The 26,676-nt window shown below is 38.5% G+C and overlaps 1 long non-coding RNA gene across 4 annotated transcripts in view, besides 1 other annotated feature; it reads left to right on the top strand.

Moving 5' to 3' along the window:
• Positions 1–26,676, top strand: part of LINC02945 (long intergenic non-protein coding RNA 2945) — a 308,805-nt gene that overhangs the window by 109,565 nt on the left and 172,564 nt on the right. The window lies entirely within an intron of this gene.
• Positions 11,138–11,207: a silencer, noted in NCBI's record as "silent region_15631". NCBI's record gives its function as "represses an Ori minimal core promoter by ATAC-STARR-seq in GM12878 lymphoblastoid cells {active_cell/tissue: GM12878}" and the evidence as "EXISTENCE:reporter gene assay evidence [ECO:0000049][PMID:35858748]".

Below are 26,676 nucleotides of genomic sequence, written 5' to 3'. Positions count from 1 at the left end.
GAAGGGACCTGCTTTTATTTACCCATGAGCTCAGCTTGCAGATGAACATTTTGCTGTGGTTTTTAGAGAAGACCACCTTGGGAGAAAGGCATGTAAATCTCATTTCACTGCTAGTTAAACAAATCAGTGAAAGTTGCAGGGGCAAACCCTCTCCAGAGTGAAGCCCTGCAGTAATTACCAACTGTCTCCTGAAAGGAGATGGTGACACACACGGCGAGTATGAGTCCTGGCTTGCTCTTTGGAGTCAAAGAACATTCATTTGAAAAACTGGTTCTGTTGTTATTGTGTCAGAAAGAGGGATTTCTAACAGAGGGATTTGACAGACTAGACAAAAGCCCTGGTTAAGTAATCAAATGTTCATGCAGGTGTTCTAGTTTTCCCTGCAGCACTTGTACATACCAGATGAGCTGTGCTTGGGCCTAATGTACATTCTCCTTGGGTTGAGATTTCTGCATATTAACATTTTTTCATGGATGACACATTTTTATGTAGATATTTTACTACATAGAATATTAGAATTTCTTTAATTCAGAAAATGAGCAACTGCTTTTCTATTTCAGCAAACAGATCATGAACATTCATTATGATATGCTGTTCTCATTGGGGCTTATTTGTGGGTTTTCTGAGTTTGTCATTGGCAACTGCACTGTTTGGCTTCACTGTTGGGCTGTGGAGCAAGGAATTATCCCTTTAATCTCTCTGCTGTTCTCCTTTTTAGCAATATGCTACCTGTATTGTTCCTGGGCACCATGTGTCTTGCTGTAATCCAAGGTGCAGTTTTAATCAGCATTCATTTTGTTGTAAAGGGAAATAAAACCCATTCAAACTAGCTCAAGTAACAAAAAGGCTTGCCAAGAGAAAATAATGGCTTCTCTTAGAAATAAAATATAGGAAATATAGCCCAGCTCAAAGGAACCACACAATTGTCATTCATTTACTTTCATTTTTTGTCCCTATGAGAGTCTCGTCTCTACTCTCTGCACAGGATAGGCACATAGTCTGCTCTTCTTTTTTTCTGCAGAATTTCTTTCTGTGTGTGCTTATCAAGCATGCACGTGACTATTCCATCTTTCAGGTAAGTACCTCCTGCCATATATTTATTATTAATTTTAGACCTAATAGAAAAAGGAGAGACAGAAGGAGGGGTGGGAAGAGAGAGAGAGAGAGAGAGAGAGAGAGAGAGAGAATGAGTATCTGATGGGTTGCTGGCCAGACAATTGTCATCATTAATTTATTGGTTAGGTTAGGATAGTAACAAATAAACTCACCGATCTAAGAGTAAGTTTTATTTTTTGCTCACATTGCATGTTAATTGTGGGTTTTCAGGGAAGCTTTGCACATTGTAGTCACTCAGGAACCAAGGCTGAGAGAGTGGCCACTGTTTTGAACATTACTGGTCACTATGCCAGGTGGAAAAGAGAGCTTTGGATGGTCTTGCTTTGCAATTAAATGCCTGGCCCAGATGACACACACTACTTCCTGCTCACAGCACATGGGACAAAAGTAATTTCATGCTTCCCTTCCCCCAGCCATATGTTTAGAAGGCTCCTGATGGAATATTTGGTGAATAGCACTAATTGCTACTACACCTTAGGACAAGGATCTTATAATCATCTAATTACCTCTTGGCATTAATGTGGCCATTATGTATTTAGCACTTTCTCTTCCTTACTGATGTTTTTTATCTGTGAAAATAAGTTTGATAGAAACAGTATTATGCAAGGTTATAGCTGACTATAAGCTACTTTAAAGATAATGATAATAAAGACAATTATTTTGTACCTACTATATGCCAGGCTATTCACATAGATTATCTCTATTTGTTGTAAGAATCCTTTGAAGTTGGCAATATTAGCATAATATTGGTTATATTGACTCCAAACTCCATGTTCTTTGTGTTACTCACATTGAGGCTAAAGGGTAGTTTTGGAAAGTAAAATTTCTTCAAACTTGCAATGGAAACATCTCCCATTACTTTATTATTTTATTTATTTATTTTTGAGACAGAGTCTCACTCTGTTGCCCAGGCTGGAGTTTAGTGGCACGATCTCTCCTTACTGCAACCTCCGCCTCCCAGGTTCAAGCGATTCACCTGCCTCAGCCTCACAAGTAGCTGGGATTACAGGTGTGCACAACCACACCCTGCTAATAGAGACGGGGTTTTGCCAGGTTGGCCAGGCCCTCGAACTCCTGACCTCAGGCGATCCACCCGCCTTGGCCTCCCAAAGTGGTGGAATTACAGGCGTGAGCCATCACGCCCGGCTTCATTACTTTAATAAGTATCTTGCCTTACAAATTTCTCAGAATATAATGGAGAAAAGTGTAAATTTTATCGCTGATCCTTTAATTTTTTATTAAAATTTAATGTCTATCATAGTAATATACATACACACATATAACATATTGTATATGTGTCTATAGATTAAGATTTGAAATAATACTCTCAAGTTTATAACAGCAAGAATTTCCAACCAATCTCTACCCAACCCTTCTGCAATTCTCATTCTTCAAAAGTATCTACTTCAAAGTCTTTCAATTGATTGTTCTATTATTTACCTCTATATTATAGAATAAAATTATTAAACTGTTATTCCTTACTTTGACAATTTTAGATTAATTACTGTGGAAGATGGAGATTTAGCTCTCTCAACCTGCAGTATACTTTGCTGCCCGCCCAGCTCACCACACCTCAGTCTGCGGATACAGCTGTATCACACGTTTTAGTTAAAGTATTAGTCAGTGTTACAAATAAGCAAATATTTTTCACAGTTGAGCCAGGTTGTTTACTTTAATCATATTATTTTTTACAGTTAATAATTGCTTCTCTTTCTTTTCTCTCTCTCTCTCTTTCTTTCCTTCTTTCTTTCTTTATTTTATTTTATTTTTTTTTGGAACAAGGTCTTGCTCTGTTGCCCAGGCTGAAATGCAGTGGCACGATCATAACTCACTGCAGCTTCAAACTCCAGGGCTCAAGCGATCTTCCCTCAGCTTCCTGAGTAGCTGGGACTACAAGCACGAGATAACCACACCTGGCCCTTCTCTCTCTCTCAAATACTTTTTAGATACTTTCACGAATCTATTTTCCAATTTTCTGGGAATTACAAGAGTCCTTTCAATTTAGTCAAATATATCTTTCCTCTCTTCTTTGTCTCCTCCCTCCCTCCTTCCTTCCTTCCCTCCCTCCCTCCCTCCCTCCCTCCCTCCTCCTTCCTTCCTTCCCTCCCTCCCTCCCTCCCTCCCTCCTTCCTTCCTTCCTTCCCTCCCTCCCTCCCTCCCTCCCTCCTTCCTTCCTTCCTTCCCTCCTTCCCTCCTTCCTTCCCTCCTTCCCTCCTCCCCTCCCCTCCCTCCCTCCTTCCCTCCTTCCCTCCTCTCCCCTCCCCTCCCCTCCCCTCCCTTTCCTTCCTTCCTTCCTTCCTTCCTTCCTTCCTTCCTTCCTTCCTTCCTTCCTTCCTTCCCTCCTTCAAAAAACAGATATGAGGTCAAGAAAATAGGAGACTCAACATGGAAGAGAGCCTGCCTGCCTGCCTGCCTGCCTTCCTTCCTTCCTTCCTTCCTTCAAAAAACAGATATGAGGTCAAGAAAATAGGAGACTCAACATGGAAGAGAGTCTTCCTTCCTTCCTTCCTTTTCCTTGTTTTCTTTCTTTTTTCCTGTCCTCTCACCATCCTTTCCTCCTTCCTCTGTTTCTTTCTTCTTGGACACATCCTTTATGGAGGCTTCTGTCCTCCTGCTTCACTCTTGACTAATTGTTTTCTAGATCCTAATTTTTATTGACACTCTAGAGAAGTTTTTGTCTCTTCTATGTTGAGTCTCCTATTTTCTTGACCTCATATCTGTTTTTTGATTTTTTGCTCCCATTTTTTTGGTTCACATGCGCTGGTGGCTTTCTGAAAAAGGTGATAGGAATTACATTTGTTTTGATATTTTACACAATATTATTTTACCCTCTAAAATGATCGTGAATTTGGCTAGGTTTAGAATTCTAGGTAGAAAAATCTTTTCCTTAGAATTGTGAAGATATTTCTCCATTGCTCAGTTTTGCTGCTGAGAAGGTAACATTTTGATTTCCAAGTATTTTTTATGTAGCTTGCTTTCTATCTCTGGAAACTTTCATTCTATCACATTTTATTTTTGTGATCATGTTCTCGTTTCTAACAGATCCCTTCTGGTGTTAGACTGTTCCTTCTGTTGGAGCATCCTTTTTTTGTTTGTTTGTTTCACAGACTCAATATCTTCTGAAACAACTTTTTTATTCTTTTTTTGAGGCAGAGTCTCGGTCTGTTGCCCAGGCTGGAGTGCAGTGGCATGATCTCAGCTCACTGCAAACTCCACCTCCCAGGTTCAAGCGATTCTTCTGCCTCAGCCTCCCGAGTAGCTGGGACTACAGGTGTATGCCACCACACCCAGCTAATTTTTGTGTTTTCAGTAGAGATGAGTTTTCACCGTATTGGCCATGCTGGTCTCGAACTCCTGACCTCATGATCCACCCTCCGTGGCCTCCCAAAGTGCTGGGATTACAGGCGTGAGCCACTGCACCCGGCCTCGATATCTTCTTATATCTCTTTGAGGAATTCATTATAGTTTAAAATGCATATATTTATGATTTTTAATAGGCAATATATCCAAATGGCCAACCCTTCAAACAGTAAGAAGGTTACTCAATGGAAAGTGTATCTTCCTTCCTCCTTGACACTTGCCATTCAATTTCCCTCTTCAAGGTGTCTTCCCTTTTAGGCCAGTGAGTTCCTTTTTTTTTTTTTTTCCCTGAGACAAAGTCTTACTTTGTCACTCAGGCTGGAGTGCAGTGGAATGATCTTGGCTCACTGTAGCCTCAATCTCCCCAGGCTCAGCTGATTCTTCCACCTCAGCCTGCCAAGTAGCTGGGATTACAGACACGTGCCACCATGCCTGGCTAATTTTTGTATTTCTTGTAGAGATGGGGTTTCACTATGTTGTCCAGGCTGGTGTTGAATTCTTGGGCTTGAGTGCTCCATCTGCCTCCCAAAGTGTGGGATTACAGGCATCAGCCACCATGAGTGTCCCACTAGCTTGCTTTTATAAGAATCCAAGACACTTGCTAGGACAGCGCAGCTGCCAGTGTTCTGGTTTCCAGGTGGGCAAAGAGGTGAAGGGTTCCCAGTGTTAGGTGGGTCAACTGTCACATAATCCCCTCTTTTCATTGTGGTGCCTCATTGTCATTCTTAGCTGTGCAATCTTAAAAGCCTCTCTACTCGAGGGAGGGCTGTTACTCAGTCTTCTTTGGGATGGAAGAGGAGAAGCCCCATGACTAGGATAAGAGTTAGGAGGGAAATCTGGGGCTCTGATTGTTGTCTATCATGATTTTCAATACATCTGCCTGTTTTCTGGCCCACCCTTCAACTTATACTTTAGAAGGACCTGGTTCCTCTAATTTGGAGTCTGTCTGAGGTTTTGCAGCCTTCTGCATAGTCAATGCCAGGTGTCTGATCTCAAGCTACTTTTAGGTATTTAGTGGTTTGGTATAATCCAAAAGAAAACTGTTTTCGATCTCTCATCCAAATCAAAGCTTCTCTCTTTCCCTGCCTAGTGACTAAGTGGCCAGCAGTGGGCTAGGGGGATCTGGTGAATTATTGTTCTATTTTTCTTGCTTCTGCCTTTCCTTTCCATACGTCAGGTTGCTTCAGGATGGAAGAAGGAGAGGTGAGTGGAGGATGAGAGAAAAAGCGCCTTTAAATTAACAAAGACTGCTAGTTCTCTCTTGGCTCTCCAATACCCATAGAGCCTTGTTATGCTGGTATCTCATGGCCCTGGAAAGCAGTCATTTTGGGCAATGTTTTCTTAGTTGCTTCATGCCCATATATCTTCCTTAGTGTCAACCTAATCCTTGGGACTGTGGCATGATCTCACTAAACTACTCTTTCTTCACTCAGGTGTCATGGTTTTTCTGGCCAGTTATCTGTTCTCATCTCTTCAAAAGAGGTCAGACATCAGAATCTATGTCCTAAAACTCCAGAGGAAAAAAGCCAAGAACCTTCTCTCACTCTGTGCCCGTGGTAATATAGGGTTGACTGTGAGCTTTTGTTCTCAGCAAGGATATTGTCTGGCAGTCTGTCTTTCTGGAGAGCATCTTTTCTATCTTTTTCAGTAGTTCTCTTTGGAAGACTTATTTGGCTTGAGGAGAGAGGAAATGAGACAGTACTATTTATACATAAATGCATTACAGAATCCTCACCAGGAGAGCTCCCTATGGTTCTCTTCTTTAGACCACCAGGGATAAATATTGTTAAATGATAAACAGTCTAGTGACCTACTAACAAGTCTTACTTGGGTGTGTCTGTAAATTTTTTTCTTTATATATTTCTTTCAATCCAAGATACATTCTTTGCCCTTTTCTATCCTGTGTTTTACTCCGGGACACTGATCCCTACAGATTTCATTACCTGGATTCCCCCATAGCTGATTGCTATCCTCCAGTTGGATTTGGTCAATAGGAGATCAATGGGAGAATAAGAGGATGGGAGGAAAAAGGGGTCAGAGTGTTTACTTCCTTTTCCTCCTATTCCATCTTCTATGGCTACAGCTCCCATCACTGGTCCCTGCTTCTCAACCTCAGGTCTCTCTGGGTTCCTGGAACAATATTTTCTCCCTTTCTTCCTTCAGTGCCAGTGGTGCTAATTTTTGCTTCCCACTATTGAAGTCTCTGGGTGTCTCACCATTCTTTGTTTGTTTCCTTCATCATGCCCAAAACTAATGTAAGTTCTCACTTCATTGGAGTTTCTTCATTTGGTTGATTTGGAGTGAATCTTTTTCCTACCAGAATCCTGAAGCATACTGTAGGGGTGTTAGTATCATGGAAAATAGAACCATAGCTTCTGAATTTGAAATAAGGGTTTGTCACTTATTGAGAATGAACTGCATTGCAGGAAGGAAGGATGCGAATACTCAACAGTCAGATGCTAGGAGCAGTCACATCCTAGTTCCTTAATGCATCAAAACCAAAGCTTTCTTTATACATACATAAAGCCTAAGAGCCACTTTAAGCATTGCCTTGGTGAGGAGAAGGCAGAATGTGTAAATACAAATTAAGGTGTTCCTAACTTTGAAAGGGAAATGGTGACAATGTTTATCTGTATGTATCTTTTCTGGAGCCTAATTTTTTCTCTAATGACTTACCGTATTATGAAAGAACTGGTATCTTCATAGTTCTCACTCACTTTCCTCAGCTTTGAAGAATGGAAAAACCCCATTCATTTCCTGTTCCACAAGCAAAGCTCTTGTTCCATGCAGGTTCATGAAATTAATCTTTTGGTTTAAATTCTGTCTGCTCTTAGGAATGTCCCCACTACTTTGGATATTTGCATAAGAAAAAGGAAAAGAAAAAAGAAATCTAGTATATCATTCTTGGGGTGGAGAAAGTGGGAAAAAGAAACAAGACCAGCCGCCTGTTAAATGGGTCTATAATGTTCCTGGTGAATCTTGAGAAAAATGCAGTGTGAGAGGGAGCTGATCTAGCCTATTGTCCCCAAAGGACAGAACACGAGTAATTTCAACAGGTTTACAGAAGCTTTTGCCAAGAGGAAAAATCATTAGGTGTTTTGGGGTAAAATTTTAGAGGTTACATACAAATCATCTTGTCTCTTTGATAGATGTTATGAGCATGAGCACTTGGAGAAATTGATTTATTTTCAAAAGATTGAATTAATCGTAAAATTGTGATACAGTCTGGCATGCTTAGTTTATCTCAGTTAAAAAGGAAATAAATGTACATACTTACATTTAATAATAGTCTTCCTCAGGTTTAAAACTAAGTAAATAGGTATAAATGGTAAATAACTATCCTTTATGAATGAATTTGGTAGGGGGAGGTAGGTGGGTGTAAAAAATTATCTGTTTATGTGTCAGCCCATTGAAGGGAAAGGCTGTGTTTCATTTTTCTTTCATCTGCCTGTGTACCTAACATAAGAGGTACTCACAAATGTTTAGTAGCTGAATTTTTTAAATGAAGTTCTGATGGTTATTTTCTCTCACTCTCCCCATAAAAGTAACTTCTACTCAAGAAGCTACTAAAATAGCTGGGCTCAGAAAAGAAAGATAACTTTTGTAAAAAATTTGCTTGAGGGCATGTAATTTAAACTGCTTTCTTCAGCGATGACTTCAAAGATCACATAACTATGTCAAGCTTATTTATTTATTGTCAAGTTACTTTAGTTAGGGGACTCTTGGTAAGTAATCAGTAAATTTAATAGTTCAGTAGTTATGGGATGCTTCTGATTAGTAGATATTTTATGATTTAGTCTAGCACATAGGTTTTATAAAATTTCTTAACATCTATTTGCTAACTATCTTTCATTTATTCAAAATTGCATTTATTAGGGACTTAGTATGTGCCAGGAATGCTTTGGCTATATGTTTGTATTAGAAATGAAAGCCCAGAAGATAGATTTAGGTTTTCATAGAGCTTAAGCTCACTTGTGTGTGTATGTCTGTGTATAATATGAGGAGCATACAGGTCTATAAAATAAACGCGGAATTACAGTGTAATGTGATGAGAATAGCATAGGTGAAGAGCGGGTGCTACGGGTCAACTCCATCCTTCGGGATCAGTGAAGGTTGGGTTCTAGTAAGAAGCCATGTTTTAGCTGAGAGTGGGAGATGAGTGGGACATGGCCAGGCAGGAGGTGGTGGTAGGTGGTGGCAGGGACTTTCCAGGCAGAGGAAATTATACACAGAAAGTCAGGGACCTCAGTGTGTCTGAATATAGCAACTATACAAGAAATGATGTTTCCTTAGTAAAATTCCCACTCTCATTGATAAGAATATTGGCAATAATATCGACGATGACATTAACAATACCAATGATGACATTCAGAACTTGTGGAAGCATTTACTGAATATTTATCATGTGTCAGGTGCTGTTCTAAGAGCTCAATATGTATTATTTAATTCTCACAATAGCCACGAGGCAGAGATTGCTATCTTTATCTTAAAGACAGGGAGATTCTGTGTCAGAAATGTTATGAAAAAGGCCAGACATGATGATAAATGGTGGGTCCTGGACCCAGGCAGGTCTATCTCACTCCAAAGCTCATTCTCTTAATCACTATGCTTATGGTCTGCTGGATCTGAAAATTAATAAAGCAATTTAAGCCCATAATTCACTCTCAGGTAACAGTTTATGCTTAAAGAATCTTAATTTTAAAAATCAGAAAGTATAGACTATTTTCAAATGTGCTTTTCTTTCAGTCCGACAGTTCTATCGCATTGTAGTAAATATAGAGTCAATTTAAAATATTAAATGTAAACATGTTAACAAACAATACAAAGCATGTATGGACACAACACATAGTTTTGAAGTCTGCGTTTTCCTTTCTTTGAAGAGGAAAAATTAACAAGGCTATATAAATCAAGTATGAATTATTATTGCCATATCTTACAGCTAAATAAAAACTAGTACACTGTCTTGGGTTTCTTAGGGAAGCCTCTATGAATTGCAGTTATTTGAAATGAGCCTGATACTAAAAGGCCATGCATGGTGTTATTTTCAACATTATAGGCAAACCTTGGCTTCTGTGTGTTTGACATGTCAAATCCCCTTTAAGTTCCTCATGTGATCCGGCTTGGTCTGTTTACCAAATCTAAATCTCTGGAAAATTTGTTCCTGCAGAGATCTAGAAAAGATGATTGATTTTTATGCCGCACATTTGTCATTCTCCTCCACCTTCCCTTCCCTGGGTCTTGCCAAAGTTTTCATCATCAGGTCTGACGCCGCCGGGAGTATCCTTTCTTGTCTTGTTCTCTGTTCACTTTCTTTCTGTCCTTTCTATTAACTCCTTTATCTACATCCATAATTCTAGTTTATCATCTGTCCTTTTATTTACATATCTCTGGCATCTGTCTTTCTATTTCCCTCTCCTCTACCTCACTTTCCTCTTGTCTGTCCTTCATTTCTATCTTTCACTTTGCTCTTCACTTTTGGAAAGTTATGATAAATACAGATTTGCAGCCCGGTATTATCTAATTCATTGCCTCTTTTCCTTGCATAATCTGGTGAAGGCAGACAGATTCACAACTCCTTCCAATCCTATTTTTGCCCCCTCCTCAGCTATATTGCTTCTTGCATGGTTTTATTGCTGTGGAGGAGGTTGAAAGTTTGCCAAGTGACCCAGAAGACCTGACCGGCAGTCTTTTGTTTCTTAGCACTTGAGAGACAGTATTTAAATTTTATGGGGTGTGAGGTCTTATTTTGGACACTGTACTTCTCCTCTGGCTTAGAAAACCTCTTTGGGAAAGTGGACATTGAGATCTTCAAGCTATGCAGTGCTAAATGTTTCCTCCATAACTTTATGTTCACATATCTTAAATGAATAAGCATTCTTATGTTAAAACAGTAAAATTTTCCTTAATAAAATAATCAATGCCCATTTCAAATAGTAAATTATAAATACTATGTAGACAAGTTTGTATTTTTTTAACCTATTAGTATGATGGCTAAGTTATTTCTTCAGAGTCTACCATAGTCTAACATAGTTTTTAGTCATATATTTTTTAAAATTGCATAATATTTCTTGGAGTACCTAGAATGTAATTTATTCAGCCATTTATCAATTGTTGGCTACTTCTCCACTTTTTAATGTGTGAGCTTTCATGCTTCTAAGTGCTCAACTTGACAAACTTTATTTCATTCTTCAATGACCTTCCACGTGATCCTCTTAGTCACTGTCTCAGGGTGACTCAGGGAGTACAAGGAATAAACACTGAAAACAATCTCAAGCTTGTGATGAGCTTCCTTCCCCCAATCTGTTACAACATGGCACTCAGGAACAAACTTTGAGAAAGCCTGGGATTAATCATGAAGACAAATAGGGAAGGAAGGCTGTTAAGAACACTTCTACAAATGAAAATACAGACCGACGGGCACAAATCCCAGAGAAAAGTTATTGACGTTTCCTCTCAACATGAATATGGAATGTTACATTGGTACCAAGAGAGTGAGTGTTTTGTATGGATGTTTGTTGGAAGGATAGAGTGGTATAAAATCACTAGAGGCAGTCTGATTTTAGGTATATGTGAGTTAGGTCTGTAAGTAACAGAAAACAAAATTAAACTAGCTTAAATAAACAAATAAATATTATTAACTCCCATGCTCGAACATTCAGAGGGGACAGGCTTCAGTCTGATTTAATCCAGTGGCTTTGGCTGGTTCTCTTCAGTTTGCTCAGCTGTAGCCTCCTCTGTGTATTGGCTTCATCTTCAGGCTGGCTTCTTTTGGAAGCAAAAGGACTAGTTACTTTAAGCCTCACAGTTTCATTTCATGATTTTCAGAGGAAGTGAAAACTTTTTTCTGGTTGTTTTTAATTAAGAGTGAGAAAAATTATTTCCCAGGAGTTTCACGTAAACCTTTCTTTGTATTTCACTGGTGTAAATTAGATTACATGTCCATTCCTGCACCAGTCCTTGAGGCCAGGGCAAGGCCATGTGCTGATCGGCTTATGTCTGTTTTCCTGACCCAATCACCGTGGCAGATGTGTTGAGATTACCTCTAAACAAATTTCCCAGGAGATAGGGATGTGGTTAGTGCACCTTTATGAATATGGGCTGCATGAGGGAAGAGGTGGATGCATGGAGGAAAACTGGACCATTATTAGGAAAGGGAAAATAAATGCTATGCAAATTTAATCCATAATATCTGCCAGTTCTCAGCTTCGTCTAGTTTAGGGCTTGCAAACTGTTATAACTTAGAAAATATTCACATAAATGAAATAGATAATAAATTTAATATAAAATATAACTATGATTAAATATGGTGTTATTTAATTTTGTAAAGGAGACAGTTAAGGGGGATTTTATAGTATATGGTTCTGAAAATGTTTCCTGGGTTTCCAAATCCAACTTCTTTTACTTCCTAGCTCTGTGATTTGAGCAAGTTACTTCATCTCCCTGTGGTTTAGTTTCCTTATCTGTAAAATGGAATTATAAAAGTATCTACTGCATAAGGTTGTCATGAGGACTAAGTGAGTTAATACATACAAAGCTTTTAAAAATAGAGTCTAGTTCATAATAGCACTTGATAAATATTTACTTTTAATACTTTTTAATTTTCTTCTTCTTATTTTTTTAGAAGTGAGGTCTCACTATATTGCCCAGGCTGGTCTTGAACTTCTGGGCTCAAGCAGTTCTTCCACTGCAGCCTCTCAAAGTGCTGGGATTATAGGCGTGAGCCACCATGCCCAGCTACTTTTGAAATTTTCATTATACTCTCTGATCAAAATTCCCTCAATGTCCATTTTATTAGTTACTTCTAACGTTTTCACAGAAAATTATTTGAAAGCAGTAATAGTTTAATTTCCTCCATAATTTGATATAAATTTTTTTTTCAAAATATCCAGGAAATATATATTGAAAAGTGACAGATTTTACCTTGCTGTGTGTGTGTGTGTGTGTGTATGTGAGAGAGAGAAAGAGGGGGAGAGAGGTGGTATATGTTGATGAGGGTCATTAAAACCTTTTAAACTTTGTTCATTTTTATGTGCTTTTGAAATCATAAAACAATATATATTGATGGCTATCATTCAGGCCACAGAGGTAGGTGAACCTTCATCCAAAGTCTGATTCTGATGTCAAGACTGATGTAGCTACACATGCACTAAAAAGATATGACAAGGTTTATTACTCACATAATGAGGCTTTCTGCAGAGAGCAGGGTAGCCTCCCAAACAGGTCCAGAGACGACTTGAGAGAGTAGAGAAAGCAGACTTGTTCAGCTTTTATTGTAGTTGGGGGATGGGTGTAGGGTGAGGGTTCATGCCCACAGACCTAGCATTTTATAGTTCACACTCCCTACTGGCAACAAAGGAGGGACCATGCAAGTTTTCTTATGAGCTTGCCCAAGTAAAGGGAAAGGGTGGTGGGGGCACTTGAAAGCCGACAGCAGTCCAACATCACAATGGAATCAGACAGCTGTAGAAAATATGGGAGATATAGAAATCAAAATGCAGAAATTATAATCTTTGGTAACCATCCAATACAGATACATTTATGTATGTATATTTTATACTTGTGTTATCATCTACTTGCATTATTCCTGGTAATTTTAAAGTCCTAGATGTAATAAATTTATTCACTCTTTATTATGAACTACTCTTTATGATGAACCATCCTAAGTCTCACATTGTGTGTGCTGAACCAAAAAAGAAAAAAATTATTTCTGTTTTGAATCTTCTGGATAAAATCAAATTGCCTTATAGGTGTTCCTCTTTTAAATTTCAAGCTATGTAAGATTATCCGTAGTAATGTTTAACAGATAGCACTAGTTTCAATGTATTAACCAAAAGAAAATAGAACCACTGTCCATGTCACGTTAGTCTGGAGCCAGAGAATCAACATCAGTCAGCCAGACAAAACCCCATACTACAATGATCTGAAGGGTTTGTATTATTCTTTGCCTTATTGATTGCCCATTTTAATACAGAGTTATTAATTTTCTTTCATGTTTCAATCTTTTTTTTGTTTTGTATATCACCTTTTCTTTTTCTGGCTAGGCTGAATCTGGGTCAAATTGACTCTAGAGGACTCTAAATATAATCCGGCTTTAAGAAATGGCTTTTTTCCTTTTCGTGGAAAAGATTACTCAAAGAGTAGATATTTGAAACTTCCTTTGTCCAGAAAATGAAAATTATTTTTTAAAAAGCATGATTTTTCTGATGGCAAAAATACAAGGTATGTGAATTAAATACTTATTTTACTTACATTTTAGGGGCAAAATACATTAATTGGGCCAGAAAAATTTTTAACCCTATTCTAACTGTATTATAAAGATTTAAAAAGTGAAAATATAAACTTCACATGCATATATTCTAGTATCAACACTAACAGGCTTGCAGCAGGTCGGATGAAGCTTATAGATATGCTATACAATGAAAATGCTGCCATAAAATTACAGTCATTTATGTATGCATTCACTCACAATGTGGCTGTTGATTGTCTAGAACACAATGATCATAATGATGACTAATAAAGGTCCTGATGCAAGAAGATTTCACTCGAGTGCGGAAACAGACAATTAAGAATTGAATGCAATGTAGTGTGGTAAATATAAGGACAGAACAAACCAGAACAGAACTATTAGGTTTCCTGAAGGAATCATCATTCAGTAGTATTTTTCCTTTAGGGATGTCATCTTGGCTCTTCTTAACCTCTCTGAGCCTCAGTTTTCTAATTTTTTTTAAATATCAGTTTGCTTATACATGATTCATAGATTTTTTTGGTAACGATTAAATTTTAAAAATATGTGGAGCACCTTGCACAATGCTATGCATAGTAAGCACTTGGTGAATAGTAGATATTCTTATTAGTAGTACTCAAAGTCATGATCATTTTACAGCCATACATCTTTTTTAAAAAAATTTATTTTAGGTTTGGGGGTACACGTGAAGGTTTGTTACATGGGGAAACATGTGTCATGGGAGTTTTACATATTATTATATCACCCAGGTATTAAGCTCAGTACCCAATAGTTGTCTTTTCTGTTCATCTTCCTCCTCCCACCCTCCTACCTCAAGCATACCACAGTGTCTGTTGTTTCCTTCTTTGTGCTCATAAGTTCTTATCATTCAGCTCCCACTTATAAATGAGAACATGTGATATTTGGTTTTCTGTTCCTGTGTTAGTTTGCTAAGGATGATAGCCTCCAGCTCCATCCGCATTCCTGCAAAAGACATGCTGTCATTCTGTTTTTATGGCTGAATAATATTCCATGGTGTATATGTACCACATTTAAAAAATCTGTTCTGTCACTGATGGGCATTTAGGTTGATTCCATGTCTCTGCTATTGTGAACAGTGTTACCACCATGCATCTTAAAAAGACTTCAGAAATATTGTCTTAAAATTGGTAAGAGTGACATACAATTTAATTATGATTTAATTATGTCACTTTCTTACTCCAAACCTTGAGTGGTTTCTTATTTTTTTATACAATAAAGGCCATATTACTTTTTCTTATTTTGAGGCCCTCAATAATCTGTCCTCTAGCTCCCTTTTTCAATGAGGTCTTCATGGACTTCATCAGCTATTCCTCTTGCATGCCCTGTACTTGTCTGTTTTCATTCCTCTATGCTTATTCTGTAACAATAATAGAGACTAATATTTATTGTGTACTTATATAAAAGGCACTGTGTAAGGCACTTTACATGAATCATTGTCTTTAGTCCCAACAACAAGCCTATGATTTAATCTTTCTAACTGTCATTTACAAATAAGAAACTGGCGTAAGTCATGCAACTAGTAAGACGGTGTTAGAATTCTGACCATCACCTTGCACTGCTAATTCTTAATCTTTGCATTCTTCTGCCTTCACCCAACCAATCTGATGAGATCCTCTCAACCTTCATGGTGTTCTTGAAACTTTATCTATAGAGATCTTCCCTAGTCATCTGAGCTAAAGTTAACATTTTCTCCCCAAGTATACCTAGACCTTAAATTTAAACTTCTCTTACAGAATGTCCACTACATTCTGCTTTCCATTCCTGTTCTTTATGTAAATATCTCCTGAATGCCATTATAGACAACCTAAGAGTGGGTGTAACGACCAAACAATGTGCTTTACACTTCAGAGACACTCGATGGATGCTTATGGACTTAAATTGAATTCGACTGAAACTGTTCTGGACATATTTTGGTATCCATGCTAAAGTGTCTTTGATGAGTGTGGACTTAGCAGACAGAGACTTTGTAGAATCTAAAGGTGATGTGGTACCCTTTATATTAGGGATAACACTTACACTTAATAAGTGAGTTTCTACAATGTAGCTGATGATTCAGTGGTCACAGTGCTCTTAGTAGCACTGTTCTGGTTTCAATCACCACATATGAACAATTCCATTCTCCTTGCTAACTAGACTACACTGCTAGACTGTCAGCTCTGAGAGGCAGAGGCATGCTTGTCTTGACTACCACAAATGCCCAATTCTTAGAACTGTGCCTGGACAGAGTAAATGCTCAACTCATATGGATGTGGTTGACATTCGTTGAATGTTGAGGTACCCTAAAGTTTTTGAGAAGCAAATGGACTATCAGTTAATAAGTCAAATGCTGAATCAAACAAAGATGATTGGATATCTAAAATACGCCATTTAATTGGTAACTTTCTCTTTCAAGCTGGCATAGTAGATTATTTTAATTCACAAGATACATATTCAATTTTGTTTTTGTGCTATTGCCAAATGTAAAAGCAAACCAGAATGGAACGTGTTCATTTATTTGCCTGTTTGTAATAACTCTAATTTTATGACTGTAACTTTCTCCTTGCCCGTCTCCTATCTATTATCTTTTGTGTAGTTTCTAGAGCTGGCCTCTCAGTGTAAATCCTTATCTGAAACCCACACTTCACCACCACCTTCCTTTGGAGTGAGCGTGGCAGCACCATTTCTCGTTGTGGAACTGACAGAATCCTAAGAGATAACCAGCTGCAACAGCCACTTCCCATGATTTATAAAAATAGGCTTTTGACCAGGACTCTGCCAGGAGCCCAAAATTACTGTGTGAGGGCACAAGAGTAATAAGTCATTTTAATGTATTTCCTAATAAAAATGAGGAGTTTCTGTTATAAAGAAAATATCTGTACTGGAAAATCCCTTTCTGAGCTCTAGAAGTACCATGATTTTCTCTCTGACAAAACAATAATGCTGTGATTTAAAATTCCATTCTCCTGATGGAGTGACTACTGTTATCTGCTTGCTGGGGAAGGCTTCACCACCTTGTCTTAAGCATGAGTGGGAGAAGAAACAAGGGAAGGCAGACGGTGAACAAAAAAGAACGAAAGACGCATTTCTGGTCTAAGAATCCCTGTTCCCTTTTTTCTTGTTATCTTGAAGATTTTGTGGATGCTCATAAATAAGCAGAGGTACTAAATATTTCACAAAGTAGATTAATAGAATGAATTCACTGGAAACACCAGGAAATGTGAAACAGGGAAAAGATTTCTCTCCTTGCCGTTTTGATCTGATATGTGCTTCCCTGGCAGGTGGCTACATACTGCCTGGAGCACATTCCCTTTGAAACCATCCTGTGGGAGCTTGTGGGTCTTCATTTATCAGCTGTTAGACATAGTCACAGGAGCCAGAAGAAGTGAAAATAGAACTCCTTCCAAGTCACTGGAAGCCCCTCAGGAGTCCTTGATAACAAATGGGAAACAGCAGTGCTCGAATGTGGATTTCTTTTACAGGCAAACACTCCTGGAGTCATTAAAAGTTAGTTTCCATTTTCAACCTCTGTCATAAAGTGACTTTTTTTTCCCCAGGACAAATATTAACTACCCCTATTGTTATCAGGAGTATCAAGGTTAAGTTACATGTTTGCATTTTGTAGCATTTAGAAAAGTCCTTTCTTTTACTAAATGCTCTGAAACAAAAGGCTACTTCCCATGCCAGAGAACATGTGATCGAAAACTGCCCTTCAAGATTTTGAGACTTAATCATTTAATTAAGAAAACTGACATACCTTATATAAGCTGGGGTTGCTAGACTCAGACCTTATAGATTTTCTGATAATATTTTTAATCTTCTTATTTGTTTAGCTCATTTCTGATTTCCTTTTTTTCCATCTGTGCTCACAGAGTACCAACATATCTAGGCAACTTATGGAGTTGCCTAGATTAAGATGACTCCATGAAAATGATCCTGAACATTAACTTATGTACTATTGCTGTTTCAACATAAACCTTAAAGATCTTCATTTGCTTTTTTTTTTCTCTTTTACATTTTTGGTGTTGTGTTGACTTTTGCAGAGAAATGTCCCACTATGCTTGACTTACAGATTCCCCCACCCCCACTCCATCTCTTGCCACCTCCTTCACCCCATGGAGTCTGCTTCCTCTATCATCTTTCTGTGGTGCTGAATGTATATGGCCTCTAAACACTCTGGAATGAAAGGTGATATGAAATTGTAAAGTGTTTTTATCACAGAGTTCTGCCCATATGTCTCAATCCTGACGTGTAACACCTCTTCTATTTCAGTGTTGTGACGGGAGCACAGCTGGTCCTGAAAAGGCACAACACTCAGACAAGCATGTGAGATTGCATTCGTCCCTGCTGGGGAGCCCCGAGCTTTAGAGCATCTGCCCCATTAGACGATCAGGGCAATGCGTGGAAGAAGGCTAGTGCCTTGCTGCCTGGGTGTGGTCTGTGACATCATCTGGGATCTTGTAAGAAATATAGAACCTCAGGCCCTGCCAAAGGCTTTTTGAATCAAACTCTGCATTTTAGCAAGCTCTTCTGGTGAGTTGTGCACACATCAGGAGTATAGTCGGCATCTGCTATTTTTGTCGGCCCTGCATTTCTTACTCTGGTAACTGCGTCTCCTACTCCTTCTTGAAAGAACTACTCCCTTCTCCCTACATTCCTGTGATTCTGATGGGGTGGCCAATTACAGGGCCTTAACTTTTTGGCCATAGAGGTGGGCACATAATTCAGGTCTGAACATTCAGGCTACAATGATTAGTTCAGGGTAGCGACAGGGGACCCAAGGGGTCAGGGATTCTTCCCTGTGTTTCTTCACACTGGTCTCTTCCCCAGGCATCTCTTCCCTCTGGAGTCATGAACCTGAGAAGAGGTAAATGTGGAATTGTAAACAGCTATTTTCCCAGCCAAGTGGAGAATCCTTGTCCGCTATATGCGAGAGAGTAATGCACCTAAAGAGAAATAGAGATAAGGCATGGAGATCTGGTGCCCTGTTGCTACCTGTGGTTTGATTATATGAGCTCCTAAAATGTCTTTTCTACTTAGCCTATTTTGAGTTAGGTTTCTGACCCTTACAAAGGAAGCAAAGATTTAAATGACACAGATAGATATCAGAAAAGGCAGGTTGCTCTGAGAAGACAAAGCTTTGCAAGTTCAAATACTAACTTATAACACAAGAAAACAATGGCAAATTCTGTCATCTTGCATTTTCCTCACCTCAATTCTCCATCCTTCTTTATACTGTATATAAAACAATTCTCATAAGATTTTTGAAATGTTTAAATAAAAAAATTGAATATAGAACCCTAACATGGTGGCTGATATATAGCAAATGTTCAGTAAATCTTATCTACTATCATTGTTTTTATTATTATTATAACTGCTACCTCACATAGCTCATTTGATAAGGTACACTCTCTCTAATCCAGGAATCTGAATGCTACTTTACCCTTTCGAGTCTCAATAACTGGTTTGAGTTCTGCAATGCAAATTTAACTGGTTTTTTTTTTAGCCCCTGGTGGACCAATTTTCTCATTAAGAAGAATAGCAGAATTATTCAGGCTGGATAGGAGCTCTAGGTGCATGGAAAGATAAGCATAATTCAGTTTCCCTTCCGGAGAAAGCAGAAAGGGCCAGAGTTGGCCATGCAAAGAAATTTCTTTCCCAAGCTGACACTATCTAAACTTCAATGGCAGCCACTATCAAGAGAGGCAATTCCCCTTGGTTGTTCCTCTTCTAGGTCCCCTCTCTTCCTTGGTTGCACTCATTGGCCATGGATATGAACAGCAATTTCCAGCTATAACGTATAGAAACTCCTCTCTTGGTGTCTTTGGCCCTTGGGACCATTCTCAAATATTTTCTCTGTCTTTATAGCTGAAAACCTTAGGGCTTTTTAAAATTTTTTCCTTCTGATCTGCTCACAAAGGAATCCTTCTTACCTGTGGGTTGTCAAGCTTTTCAAAGTAACAGCTCCTTTGAGGAAATTGTCCAAAGCTCTCTATCTTGCCTTAGGCAAATAAATTTATGTGGCACCATATATCCGCTAGTCCCTTCAATTTCTTTCCATGCTTCCTTGAGGCAGGCATAAACACATGGATGCTTTGGGCATAAGTTAGGCGACTTCTTCCCAGAGATGCCTTCTCAGGCTACGGTGGGGTAGGTGTCATCATTGCCTTCAACTGAAGTCTGAGTTCAGGTATTTCAACACTTGGCAATAGCCCCAAGGCCTTTTTGTGTCTCTCCACAGGGCAATGGTGACATCTTGGAAAGTCAAATTAGTAGTTTTCTGGAGAAGAAATTAGGAAGAAAGTGGAATACTTATTTTGTGCTGCACTTCCCTGTGTCAGAATCAAATTTGATTTTAAAATAATGATCTTAAAGAAAGTAGAAAATATGTTCTGAATCAATAAAGACTAATTAAAATTTGCTCAGAATTGTTTTATTATTGTATATATTTAATTATGTAATTGGTAGCCTGTGTCAGGAAATGGCAATTTTGTTTTCCTTTTAATTTTATACACATTTCTTGAATGACTGGTTTGTATGAAGCCAAGTGCTATAGAAGATAAAAAGATGGATAAAACTTGATTCTTGCCTCTAGGTGTTTAAAAGTTTGACATCTAACCATGTCAGATCAGAGAAAGCTGACTTTCATATTTACCTACTGCTATGATGCTGAGGTAACAATATAATAGACATTCATAATGACTTTTTAGATAACACTCCTTGGACTTACTACTTCCTCTTCTATCATTAGCATTCTGAGAACCTGTGACATGTAGGTTTTATTTATATAGTGTTTCTTTCTAACTGTAAGTGCAACTTGGGAATTGTAAAACTGAGGAGAGAGATTTTCTCTATAGGTACTCTGCGTAGTAAGTAATTTGTATGTGGTTTATGAGTGGTATATATTAACTTATTTACCAAAACAGATGGAGACAGAACATGATATAGTGCAGTGTTTCTTACACTTTTTTTTTCATTATTGTCCCCTTCAGTAAGAAAATAAAATTTAATTTAAATTACCCCTAATGAGATAATTAAATATTAAGGAATAAGATTTTTTCAGGCAGAGTTGGGCTTTGAAGATTCACAAACCATGATGTAATCTAAGAATTTTTTGACTTCTGAGAACTAATTTTCACTTACTTGGAAGTGGTATCACCCCTGTTGAAAATGTATGATGTAGTGGAAATAGCAGGTCTTTTAGAGTCTAAGAGACTCGGATTCAAATACTAGCTCCACCATTTATTAGTGGGTGGCTTTGGGTAAAAATTACAAACTTTCCAACCTTCAGTTTTCTTATTTGTGAGGTGAGAATAATAATACCTATCTTATAGGAATGTTGAGAGGGTTGCATAGAGTATCAGGAAAGTGCCTGTCAATTTAATATGTGGTAACAAATATTAGTAATGTTAAGTGGCTTGAATAGCATTCATGATGACGTTAAATAAAAATGGGATGCTGTAAGTATTTAGCTAATGCTCACATAGTGATATGGTAATTAATATTTCTATAGGCCAGTAGTTCTCAAACTTAGTTGCACGTTAAAGTCATCTGTAGGCCTAGCAAAAATTTCTGAGCCCTGGACACACTGGGACCAATTAATTTACAATCTCTGGGGTAGAATATAGGCATTAATATATTTTTGAAATCTCAGGTGATTCCAATGTGAAGACAAGTTTGAGAATCGCTGCTTGAGACATTCAGTTCACAGTCTGAATATAGCCATAGCTAGCTGTTCATCTCAAGGACATGTTAGCTGAGATTTGAAAAGAAAATATCACAAAGTAGTTGAAGGAATAGCAGTTGTTTTAAATTATTCCAGCATGGAATAAGTTGCTGTTAGATAAATAAAAGCAAAGATATATTTTAATAAAATATGACTTTAAAACAGGTAATTCTTCCCTTTGTTGTTACTGATTCAGAATTACCATGAGTGAGCAAGCCCACAGGGGCCACAACCTTTGTGATAATATGGCATTTCTTTTTGTGAAGGGAAAGGCATATTTTCTAACTTGAGGCATACCAGAGCCTAGGTAGCATGTCACAGCTGAGAAGTAGGCTTATGATATGATTTTCTTTTCATTCAGAAACATGTCACATGTCACAAAAGACTGTAGTTTAATTGCAGCTAACTGGCATTGACCAGGTGAAGGGCACTTCTCAATCATAATAAGAGTAGAAATAAATGCTTGATTTTGTATGTCATAGAAGGCATGTGAAACGATTCTTGGTGTTCCGTGATTTGGTTTCCAGAGTTTCAGGCAGAGATGCTTGTCCATGGAGGGATAATTTAATTTCCTCAATGGGTTGATGCTCTGTCAACACAGGAATGTCAGCAGGACAGATTACAGAATGGATGTCTAAAACAAGATATGTAGCAGACAAAAATGTCTCCAAGGACACCCTACATAGCCTTCATTACAGACGACATGCTTGTCCATACAGGGGGAAAACAGCTTTAATCCTAGGCCTATGAAAATAAATGGACAGAATAAGATAAATAACATAATTTCAGAGATATAAGAATATGTAGGAGATGTAAGATATATTTTTGATGAACAGCATATTAGACAAATTATTGTCTGACAGAAAGTAATTCATCATTGAACAAAGGTCTGAGGTCTTAAGTAATTGGTTCATATCAGCACCTCCTTTTGATTTTTGATGCCATTTAGAGATTACTCACAGGTTAGAACTAGAGGGGAGCCCTTTGCAGAAGGGGCTGACTTGCAAACTGGTGGAAGAATTGATCAGCTGGAGGTCCCAACCATGATACTGCAGAAAGGATCAGAGAGAATGGTAGAAATAATTTTCTATGTGGATGTATTACACTATCACTCTCTTTCCAGGGAATGACTCAGTTTTTAAAAGTGATTCAGCCAAAGTTACTGGCATTAATATAGAAGCATGTTTGTAAACCAGATTTTTAAAAAGCCTTAGTAATAATGGTGAGAATTAGTTTGAATAATAAGGAAGTATTTCCAGTACTTGAGAAATTTTGATTTTGGAAAATTAAAAATCTGGTTTTAGTGTATGCACAACAGGCAATTCAAATATATTTCAACTTTCTAACCTTATCAATTCTTGTATATACAAAAGTATAAACATTTTTATAAAAAAGTATAAAAGTTATCAAAAATTTTGAATATAAACTATTCAGTTTTGGTTTAGAGACAAAAACTGACCATAGAAAATATAAATCTCTATTATGCTCTCAACTTATCTTTTCTCTACTGGTTTTGAAATCACATCCTTATTTTAATTTATATGTCTAACATTTACATTGAATTTTATACCTGGGTAACTGATTTCCTTTTCCTAGTTTTCCTTACCAATAATTTTAGCTAATAATGTAGTTTAAAATGAATTGTATTATTGTTACTTCTTCTGATATTTGGATAGCTAAAGGCCATGCCATTTGAAATTGATGGAATATTTGCAATTTCTTTATTCTTATTTCATATTATTTGCAATGAGCAGTTGTTCATTGCCTTTTGTGAATAAAATTTCCTGAAATAGTAGGATGGAGATGGTTGTGCCATTTTATTACACATGAAAGATATTGGAACAGAAAGTAACTTGGGTCTCTAGCCCAGGAATAGATTATTCGCATCATTTAAAAGTGACATGTATCATCTCTGTTCCATTTTAATCTTATTTTGTTAGGCTAAAAGTAACATTTTTCTAAGGTTAAATAGAATCCTTAATATCTTATAATCAAAATAAAGTATTAACAGACTAATTTATCAATGAGCCAGATTTTTAAAAACTTAATTCCTTCTACCAAGGAATTAAAACACACCAAATACATTGACACCTTAATGGAAAAGAATGGCACCAATTCAAGCTATCAATGTATTTATTGAAATAAATGGTGTGAATTTTCAGGAAGAGCTGTTGGTGATGCCAGTTCTCTCTCTTGATCCTTGATAAGAGTATGAGCTTATCAATAAGAAGGGCAATTTAGTACATTTAAATTTTATTAAAAAGATTATAGACCTTGTTCATTCACTGGTTATTCACTTAACACCTATTCATGAAGCGTCTATTATTTGCCAGCCCCAATTTTGAGATATTCAGCAAATGTCTTTCTTAACTCATTTGGAATAAAACAAATATACACAGACACACCTCAACACAGAAACACATTCATACACACATACTCACACAGAGGTATACACACACCTTTCCTTTTGAGGTGTTCAATAACTGGAGAAAAGAAGAGAACATGTTTAGAAGTAGGGTCTTGAGGAGGTAATGTGGGTTGAATGCTCAATCTGTGGAAAGGGGATATAACTCTTTGGGGTATAATTTAATTTGAGACGCCATTCTATTTTCTTGTGTAAATTTTACAGAAAAATCTCTCCAGTAGGAACAAATACTGAGAAGAGAGGAGATAAATTATAGGAAATGCTTTTCTGATAGTCTGGGATACCTAATACTCAGTTACTGAAAACTGTTTCCTTTGCCCCCAAAAAAGGATTTTCTCTGAAGAACAGAAGAAGGTTTTCTAGTGATTCAATAGATGTAGGTCAGCTTAAAGAAGTAATGACAATTGGGAATTGTAGCCCCAAATCGACTGCAAGAGCAAACCAGCAATCTCGAGAGGACCCACAGACCCTCTGAAGGAAGGAGACTGCTCCTTCAGGACTCGGGAGACCCCCTCCCCCCAACCAAAACTCTGAGTGCCCCAACTGCAGAAGTGGGAAAGGGAGACCCTCCTCTCCCAAACACACACCCCCACTGGAGAAGCTGAAGGTCTGTTTGCGGGAGAAGTTTCTGACTTAACCTGGAGCTGAGTCAATTTGGAGAGCCAAGTGAAATACAGGAGTAGAGGAAGAAGCAGAAAGGCCCTGGGAGCTTGCCGGGTCCCCTAGCAGCCCATTCCTGCCTGACACCACAGGGCTCCATCGGGAGAGGAGCAGGGGGTAAAACTACACAGGGAGAAACAAATCTCTAGCTGAACTTTGCAACAATTTGAACGGGGTGAGAAGCCTCCTGGCCAGAACTTGGGAGGGTGCAAATCTGGTGTGCAGACTCCACATGCAGGTGGTAGGGGGGCGAGCCGGGAAGAACTAAGCCCTTTTCTTTCGCAGCTGAGTGGCAGGTAGCCTGGGGCAGGTTTTCAAACCCCTATTGCTCTCCACCTTGAAATGCACTGGGGGCTGTTGGGTTGGGTCACGGTGGAAATGAGACTAGCCCTTCAGTTTACTTTGGAGCTGGGTGAGGCCTGTAACTGCTGGCTTTTCCCCACTTCCCTGACAACCTGCATGACTCAGCAGAGGCAGCCATAATCCTCCTAGGTACATAACTCCAGTGACCTGGGAATCTCACCCCATTCCTCACAACAGCTGCAGCAAGACCCACTCAAGGAGAGTCTGAGCTCAGACACACCTAGCCCCGCCCCCAACTGATGGTCCTTCCCTATCCACCCTGGTAGCAGAAAACAAAGGGTGTTTCTGCCATCCTGGTGGCAGAAAACAAAGAACTTGGGAGTTCTAGGGCCCTGCCCACCACCGGTTCCTCCCCATAATACCACAGCTGATGCTCTCTGGAAAGCGCCACCTCCTAGCAGGAGGCCAACCAGCACAAAAACAGTGCATTAAACCATCAAAGCTAAGAACCCTCAGGGAGTCCATTGCAACCCTCTGCCACCTCCACCAGAACAGGCACTGGTATCCACAGCTGAGAGACCCGTAGATGGTTCACATCCCAGGACTCTGTACAGGCAACCCCCAGTACCAGCCCAGAGCTGGGTAAACTTGCTGGCTGGCCAGACTCAGAAGAGAGACAACAATCACTGCAGTTTGCCACACAGGAAGCCACATTCATAGGAAAAGGTGGAGAGTACTACTTCAAGGGAATACTACGTGGGACAAAAGAATCTGAACAGCCTTCAGCCTTAGACCTTCCCTCTGACAGAGCCTACCCAAATGAGAAGGAACCAGAAAACTAACCCTGGTATTGTAACAAAACAAGGCTCTTCAACACCCCCCAAAAAATCATACAAGTTCACCAGCAATGAATCCAAACCAAGAAGAAATCTCTGATTTACCTGAAAGAATTCAGGAGGTTAGTTATTAAGCTAATCAGGTAGGGACCAGAGAAAGGCAAAGCCCAATGCAAGGAAATCCAAAAAGTGATACAAGAAGTAAAGGGAGAAATATTTAAGGAAATAGATAGCTTAAAGAAAAAACAAAAAATTCAGGAAACTTTGGACACACATTTAGAAATGCAAAATGTTCTGGAAAGTCTCAGCAATAGAATTGAACAAGTAGAAGAAGAAATTCAGAGCTCAAAGACAAAGTCTTTGAATTACCCCAATCCAATAAAGAGAAAAAAGAATAAGAAAATATGAACAAAACCTCCAAGAAGTCTGGCATTATGGTAAATTACCAAACCTAGGAATAATTGGTGTTCCTGAGGAGGAAGAGAATTCTAAAAGCTTGGAAAACACATTTGGGGGAATAAATGAGGAAAACTGCCCTGGCCTTGATGGAGACCTAGACATCCAAATACAAGAAGCACAAAGAACACTTGGGAAATTCATCGCAAAAATATCTTCACCTAGGCAGATTGTCATCAGGTTATCCAAAGTCAAGACAAAGGAAAGAATCCTAAGAGCTGTGAGACAGCACTAGGTAACCTATAAAAGAAAACCTATCTGATTAACAGCAGATTTCTCAGCAGAACTCCTACAGGCTAAAAGGGATTGGGGTCCTATCTTCAGCCTCCTTGAACAAAACAATTGTCAGCCAAGAATTTTGTATCCAGTGAAACTAAGCATCATATATGGAGGAAAGATACAGTCTTTTTCAGACAAACAAAATGCTGAGAGAATTCACCATTACCAAGCCAGCACTACAAGAACTGCTAAAAGGAGTTCTAAATCTTGAAACAAATCCTGGAAACACATGAAAACTTCTTTAAAGTATAAATCACACGGGACCTATGAAACA

This window comes from Homo sapiens, chromosome 4, assembly GCF_000001405.40.
Source record: "Homo sapiens chromosome 4, GRCh38.p14 Primary Assembly".
Classification (NCBI taxonomy): Eukaryota; Metazoa; Chordata; class Mammalia; order Primates; family Hominidae; genus Homo; species Homo sapiens.
The sequence above is the reverse complement of the archived record's forward strand: the minus strand, read 5'-3'. Positions and strand labels throughout refer to the sequence as shown.